The sequence below is a fragment of the Homo sapiens genome, chromosome 21 (genome assembly GCF_000001405.40).
Source record: "Homo sapiens chromosome 21, GRCh38.p14 Primary Assembly".
NCBI lineage: Eukaryota > Metazoa > Chordata > Mammalia > Primates > Hominidae > Homo > Homo sapiens.
The window spans coordinates 6,919,859-6,928,305 of NC_000021.9; the positions used below are offsets into that span (position 1 = coordinate 6,919,859).

General features: G+C 40.9%; 1 pseudogene, besides 1 other annotated feature; it reads left to right on the forward strand.

The window, feature by feature from the left end:
• Positions 1-8,447: part of a sequence alteration artifact (region identified as an assembly artifact by the Genome Reference Consortium. This region falsely duplicates sequence located at GRCh38 chr21:13654079-13799312) that runs on past both edges of the window.
• LOC101059907 (ribosome biogenesis protein SLX9 homolog) lies at positions 5,142-8,199 on the forward strand (annotated as a pseudogene).

Sequence of the window (8,447 nt, forward strand, 5' to 3'; positions counted from 1 at the left end):
CTGGTGTCTGTATGAGAAGAGGGAAAAATACAGAGACACAGGGTATAAGGCCATTTGTAACCTCTGGCAGAGATTGGAGTTATCCTGCCACAGACCAAGAAATGCAAAGGCCCAGAAGAAGATGAAAGAGGCAAGGAAGGATTGCAACCTTCCAAGGAAGGGTGTCCCTGCTAACACCTTGATTTTGGACTTCTGACCTTCACAACAGTGAGAGAATACATTCTTGTTGTTTAAGCCACCCAGTTTGTGGTACTTTGTTACAGTGGCCTCAGGAAACTAATACAGGAGGTTTTTTGTTTAGCATATTACAGGATATTGACTTGAGTAGGAACTCAGATTTCACAGACAGATAGTTGGATGAGGTCTATGTATTAACACCACATTGAATATAAACTCTATGAGTGAGAAGCATTGTTTCCAGGAAGAGCAAATACCACATTCCAACCATATTGATGGTTGTTGAGTCAGGGCCCTCTTATTCTATGAGATTCCTGTCGAAACTTCCTTATCAGCAACTGTCTGGCTGAGAGCAAGAATAATCTTTTGCCTCTTTTATACACAGATTTTATGTAGTTAATTAAATAAATGTTAATTTAAATTAATAAAAATCATACTAAAGCAATTTCTAAAAATATATTTATCAGCCACTTTTTTTTGTAGGTCTTCAATAGAATAATGAAATCCATGTAAAATCCTCGGGTTTTCAGAGTTTCATCTTGATATCTTAGCATTCTGTCAAACTATAGGCTGAGGGAGAAACATTCTGCAGCTTCCCTTAGAAGACCCACTTTGGATCCACCTTTCCGCAGAGGCATTTTTCAGGATTTCTGTGTCTAGATTTCTCCCTGGGAAAACCAGGGATAAAACCATCAGTCACATCACTTGCAGCCCAGGGAATGTTCAGCTGGCACACGTGACTAGATCAGTGGTAGAAGGCATGCAGGACTTAGGATTTCACATTTCTTTACGTTTGACCTTTACATTTCTAACAAGAAAGGCATTGTTTATTAATGTCTTCATTTTACACAGGAAAAAAAATGAAGATCAGGATAGTTAAGGCAGTAATTTTCCTATGTTTTTCACTCTTTTGAGGAACGGGCTGGCCCTGGGAGATGGGATGCAGTGAGAAGGAAGAAAAGGCAGCCTAGCTTTTATCTCATCAAAGTCAAAAGTCTTATGGACACACCTTTGCAATACCTCTCCTGGAAGTGACTTAAGTGTTATGTATTTCCACATGCCCTTATTTTAGTAATTTTTCCATGGGAAAACAAACCCATGACTCAGTAAAATTTGACAAAGTAAATCACCTAAAATTTCACAACAAAACTCCCCCTAAATGGCGGTGGGAAGCCATAGTTAGAAACAAATTTTGGCCTACTATTTTTCAACTAATTTTTAAAATAGTGGTAAAATACACATAACATAAAATTTACCATCTTAACCATTCTTAAGTGTGCAGTTCAATAGCGTTAAGTGAATTACATTGTTGTGTAATCAATGTCCAGAGCTTTTCCATCTGTCACAACTGAAACTCTATCCCCATTAAACAACTCCTCATTTTCCCCTCTCCTCAGCTCCTGGCAACCATAATTCTACTTTCCATTTCTATGCATTTTATTACTTTAGACACTTCATGTAAGTGGACCCATAGTATTTGTCTTTTTGTGGCTTGCTTATTTTACTTAGCATGTCTGCAAGATGCCTCCACGTTGTAGTATTGTGTCAGAGTTTCATTCCCTTTTAAGGCTGAATAATATTCATATATATATATATATATATATATATAAATTTTGTTTCCATTCATCTGTAGATGAACACTTGAGTAGTTTCTAATCTTGACTATTGTAAGTAATGCTGCTATGAACATAGGTGTACACTCTACCTACTACTTTTAATCACAATTTAAACCCTTCCATTTTGAGAAAAGTTGTAAAATAACAGAATATGTTTTGTTTAGAAAATTAATCATTTTTATTCTCAGATATGAGAACAACACAAAGTATTTTTCTTTGAAGTTCATAAAATGCCATTGCATAATTTATTTTTACATAAAAATACTTTCTGGGTTGAGCATGGTGACTCACACCTATAATCCCAACACTTTGGGAGGCTGAGGTGGGAAGATCACTTGAGGCCAAGAGTTCAAGACCAACCTGTGCAAGAGAGTGAGACCTTATCTCTACAAAAACTTTAAAAAATTAACCAAGCATGGTGGTGGATGCCTGTAGACCCAGCTACTCAGGAGGCAGAGGTGGGAGGATAGTTTGAGGCCAGGAGTTCAAGGCTGCAATGAGCTATAATCATGCCACTGCACTCCAGCCTGGGCAACAGAGTGAGAACCTGTCTCAGGAAGAAGAAAAAGAGAAGGAAGGAAGGAAGGAAAAAAAGAAAGAAAAAAGAGAAAGAGAAAAGAAAGAAAGGAAGAAAGGAAGGAAGGAAGGAAGAAAGAAAAAGAAAGAAAGAAAGAAAGAAAGAAAGAAAGAAAGAAAGAAAAGAAAAAAGAAAGAGAGAGAAGAAAGAAAGAAAGAAAGAAAGAAAGAAAGAAAGAGAAAGAAGAAAGAAAGAGATGAAATTTCAGAGTACGTTGCTACTTTGAATTGAGTTGTGCATTGGGAAGCATCAGTCTCCCAGGGAGGGACAGAGAGCTGATAAGGTAGCATGCATTCTCCCAAATCTGTCCCACCCAGGGAATAATGTGCTAGATTTTTCTGACATGCTTCTGGAGGGTGAAAATGCTAAAAGTCCCTCGCAGAATCATTTCCCATTACTAAATTCACCTAGTTTATTACATCTCATGAATGAAATTTTTCAATTAAGTCTTTCCCTTGTTTTTGTTGTGTTGTAACTACTTTAGGATGACTGTTCTACTTAGAGATGGTATCTTAGTCCATTTAGGCTGTTACAGAAATTTTTGTTACAAAAATACCATAAACTGGGTAGGTTATAAACAACATAAATTTATTTCTTTCAGTACTAGAGGCTTGGAAAGCTGAGATTAAGTCACTATCAGAATCAGTATCTGGTGAGACCATTTCCTGGTTCACAGACAATGGCTGTCTTCTCTCTGTGTCTTCTCCTGCAATTGATTTCTCTTGCAGTGGATCTCTTGCACGTCTTTGATAAGAGCACTAATCTCATTCACCAATTCATGAATCACTAATCACTTATGAAAGGCTCCATCTCCTAATGCCATCATATTGGGAATTAGAATTTCAACGTAGGAATTTTGGGGGAATATTAGTCTATTGTTCATGGTTTGATGACCTAATTCTCATGGTGGTTTTAACCCATGCTCCCTTTTAATAAACATAAAATGTTGTAAAATTATATACTTTTTCTCATAGACAACTCCCCCCCTTCCTCATACTTTATCATCTTTAAAATCGCTGATATACTTAGAAGATGGTTTATTTTCTAGGCATTTCTGCAGACTGATTAGGTAGAGCTTTTATTTTTCTTTGGCCAAAGATTATATTTCTTTTCTTTTCTTTTTTTTCTTTTTTTTTTTTGAGATGGAGTTTCGCTTTTGTTGCCCAGGCTGGAGTGCAATGGCCCGATTTCAGCTCACTGCAATCCACCTCCCGGGTTCAAGCAATTCTTCTGCCTCAGCCTCCTGAGTAGCTGGGATTACAGGCATGCGCCACCATGACCGGCTAATTTTGTGTTTTTAGTAGAGACGGGGTTTCTCCATGTTGGTCAGGCTGACCTCAGGTGATCCGCCTGCCTCGGCCTCCCAAAGTGCTGGGATTACAGGCGTGAGCCACCGCACCTGGCCTTATATTTACTTTCAAGTATATGCATTCTACTTTGATCCTCCTAATTCTGATCCTCTCTCCATTACCTCCTCCCCAAAAACCTTCTAAGGATCATATCATTTTAATTAGGAAGTTATTTGGCTACATTCAAAATATGATTTTTCTTTATAAATATTGGACTAATAACTCCAATTTGTGCACACGACATCTGAAGAATGTTACAAATATGTGTGAACTCTGTAAGGCTCCCAGTCCAACTTTTTTTTTGAGATGGAGTTTTGCTCTTGTCACCCAAGCTGGAGTGGAATGGTGTGATCTTGGCTCACTGCAACCTCCGCCTCCCAGGTTCAAGTGATTCTCCTACCTCAGTCTCCTGAGTAGCTGGGATTACAGGCACTTGCCACCATGCCCAGCTAATTTTTGTATTTTTAGTAGAGACGGTGTTTCACCATGTTGGCCAAGCTTGTCTCAATCTCTTAACCTCATGATCTGCCCGCCTTGGTCTCCCAAAGTGCTGGGATTACAGGCGTGAGCCACTGCGCCCAGCCCCTGTCCAACTTTTATTTCATTTTCATCTTTCCTAATCCAGCCTTGTGTTGGAAGCTTCTTCAGACTAAACCAAGAAAACCTTAGGTCTTCATGTTCATATGGGGACTTTAATGTTGATATGGTGTTTGTACACTTTAAAATATTTCCACATATGTTAACCTTGTGGTGATTCTCTGAGGCATGACAGATACTATTTTCCTTGTTTCATAGAAGACAAAACTTGAATTACAGAGAGGTGAAGTGACCACCCTGAGGGCTTCCCCAGCTAGCAAGTTCAGGATAGGCTGAGCTGGATTCCAGGTTCTCTGGCTTCCAGTCTGGTACTCTTTCTGCTATTCCATGCTGTGTTTTCTGATTGAAAAATCATAAGTCTTTGGTATTTCTCAGCTTGGTCAAATTTGTTTAAAGATCACTTAGCTCACTTTTGTCTGAGTCCATACCAACCAAGTGATCCTTTAATCTGTCTTACTGAGTAAATGCACCCTTCCTGAAGTGAGTGAGTGCCCTATGGAGTTAGGTGCTGAGCTGAGCTGCAGTCCTGGGTTATTTATTGCCAATTTGGCATCACCAACTCTCCCTTCTAAGGGTTCCTCTGTCTTTCAGAAAAGTTGGGAGCTATATTTGCAGAATGCCCTTCCCATATGGTTACAGGTTGGTTTACCAAGAAGTCCCTTCCCTTGCTGAAGATTTGGAAGGCTGAAACAAATGACAGGCTAAAGGGGGTTAAAGGCAGAAATGTGGACAACCATGAGATGCTAAGAGGCTCCACCAGAAAGCCACTCCTTCATCACTGCAGACTGTGATGGTTGAAGAGAAATATCTGGAAGTTCAAGGACAATGGACAATGAAGAGGAAACTATTCAGCTGGGAGCTGAGCTGAGGTTGTCCACCGTGGCTTCATTGACCTCAGCTTCCCCTAGTCTTCCAATGGTTGTATAGGCTTCTTGACATCTGCATTAAACCTTTTTAATTTGGATTATCTAGAGAAACCAGTTTTTCTTGACTAAACCCTGACTGATAGACTCATTCCCATGCTAAGTGCTAACATTTGGATTATGACTTTTATTCTTATTGCTAAAGTATAATTTCAAACGATATAATTAGGACACTGATGCAAATATAATATGAATATATGGCAAGGATTTTGTTCAACTCATTAATTAGGTGGGGAAACAATTAGATATTAAGACCAGTTCAAACAATATTTGAGGAGCTAGGTATTTATAGACCATTTAATTTTAAAATGTTAAGATATTTGGGTTATATATAAAACTTGTTAATATCTTACAGAGCAATGCATAATAACATTTGGGGTTATATTTTCCACCAAATCATGTGCCTTTCCATGGGACAAAAATCAACATGTTAAAGTAAAACTTCTGGGACCTTCAATAGATATTTTTTAAATTAGCATCATCATCATCATCATTTGCTATACACGTGATAGGTTATAGACACTACAGTAACATGTTCTCAAACATGTAATTGTCCTTTCAACAATTCTGTGAGGTGGATTTTGTCATCTCCATTTTAGAGATTTGGAAACTGAGCCCAGTGACCCCACCTGACCTCCTCAAGGTCATGGACTGAGTTAGAGCTGGGATTTAAATCCAGATTTGTCTCACACTGAGGCCTGTGATTTCCTCCTAGTTCACTATCACCTAATTAATTCAGATACTCCTGACTCTCTCTGTGTTAATTAATAAAATCAGCTTGGTGAATAACAAGGTTGAAAACTAAGCAAAGGAACATAACTGAATACAAAATGTTATTACAAAAGATTAACGGCTTTGAAAAGTAAAAGCAGTATGAACTATGCCATGTAAACCTTAGGGGGATAAGGGCCTTAGATTATTCAAAAGATAAATATATTTGGAAATTTTTTTAAATTTTTTATTTTTTTAATTATACTTTAAGTTCTATGGTACATGTGCACAACATGCGGGTTTGTTACATAGGTATACATGTGCCATGTTGGTTTGCTGCACCCATTAACTTGTCATTTACCTTAGGTATTTCTCCTAATGCTATCCCTCCCCGCTCCCCCGACCCCACAACAGGCCCTATGGTGTGATGTTCCCTGCCCTGTGTCCAAATGTTCTCATTTGGAAAAATTTTAACAACTGAGATTAAAAATCCAAACTTGCCATTTCCACCAGATTACGTTTTCATGGTCTGTGATGTGCCAAGTATAAAGAATAGGAGTAACATAAATGCAGGCCCCAACCAAGCAGAGTCTCTCAAACTTGAATAGAGCATGGAACCTACTTAGTAGAGGGAGCGAGGGAGACAGAGTTCCCAGACTCTGAGCCTACGCCCTCTCATCCAAAAGTTTAGAGAGCACAGCTTGCGAGATTCATGGTCAAAATAGGCCTGATCATTTTTGGTGCTAGAATAAGATAAATTGTGTCTTTCAGTTAACATTTTTCTATTTGCAACATTCTTACTTCATCCTCAGCCAGTGTAAAAATCAAAGTTTTATTGTAGATTAAAGAAAATAAATGAAAACATGGACAAAAAAGATAAATGAATTAGTATGAGTTGTGGTTAAGGGCATAGACTCTGGAGTCAGAATGTCTGTGTTCAAATCCTGACTCTACTGTGTCCTGTGAAACTTTGGGTTGGTCACTCAACCTGTCTGTGCCTCAGTGTTGTAAACGTCCAGTGGGTTTACCTTGGCCACTGCCTAGACAGAGCCAATTAATCAAGATGGGAATTGCAATAGAGAAAGAGTGAATTCACACAGAGTCAGCTGTACAGGAGACTGGAGATTCATTATTTCTCAAATCCATCTCCCAGAGCTTTCAGAGTTTTTAAGGATAATTTGGTGCATGGAGGAAGGCCAGTGAGTCCAGAGTGCTGATTGGTTAGGTCAGAGACAAAATCATAGGGAATTGAAGCTGTCCTCTTTCACTGAGTCCGTTCCTGGGTGGGGGCCACAAGATCAGATGAGCCAGTTTATCGATCTGAGTGTTTCAATAAACTGGGTGCCAGCTGATCCATCAAGTGCCGGGTCTGCAAAATACCTCAAGCACTGATCTTAGGAGCAGTTTAGGGAGGATTAGAATCTTGTAGCCTCTAGCTGCATGACTCCTAAACCACAATTTCTAATTTTGTAGCTAATTTGTTAGTCTTACAAAGGCAGTCTAGTCCCCAGGCAAGAAGGAGGTTTGTTTTGAGAAAGGGGTGTTAACATCTTCGTTTTACACTATAAAGTAAGTTCCTCCCAAAGTTAGTTCACCCTACACCCAGGAATGAACAAGGACAGCTTGGAGGTTAAAAGCAGATGCAGTTGGTTAGGTCAGATCTCTTTCTCAGTTATAAGTTTGCAATAGCTGTTTCATTGTCTTCATCTATAAAAACAGGACTAATAAGAATTATACCTCCGTTCGTCAACACCAACATCTTTGCCAGGACCAAGATAGACCCCAGCGCCTTGGTGCAAAAGCTGGAGCTGGACGTAAGGAGCGTCACTTCCATCAGGAGAGGTGCAGAGGCCAAGACCGTTTTGCCCAAGGAGAAAATGAAGCTGAGGCGTGAGCAATGGTTGCAGAAAATCGAAGCCATAAAACTGGCTGAGCAGAAGCACAGGGAGGAGCGGAGGTAGGGGGCCAGGATGGTGGTGGGGGACCTGCACCCGCTCAGGGATGCCCTGCCTGAGCTACTGGGGCTTGAGGCTGGCAGCCGGCGCCAGGCCTGCAGCAGGGAGAGCAACAAGCCCTGGCCCTCAGAGCTCAGCCGGATGAGTGCAGCCCAGAGACAGCAGTTTCTCGAGGAAGAAAGGACCCGGTTTCAGGAGCTGCTGGCCAGTCCGGCCTACAGAGCCAGCCCCCTGTTAGCCATTGGGCAGACGCTGGCCCGGCAGATGCAGCTGGAAGATGGTGGCCAGCTCTGACCAGGGCAGCGGGCATGCCACAACTCCTCGGGACACATGTGTGGGCCAAGTAGACAGCACCAGCCCCTCAAGGACCATGGCCTGAGCCTGGTGGACGCCCTTCCCTCTGGTCGGTTGTGGGGCTCAATAAATGGCTCTGTGAACTTCCCCTGCACCCCCAGGGCCATTCCCATGAGCTGCTCCCTGATTCACAGGGCTGGGCCCACCCTGGGACAGCTGCCCCCGCTCTCCTCAGGACAACAAGCCAC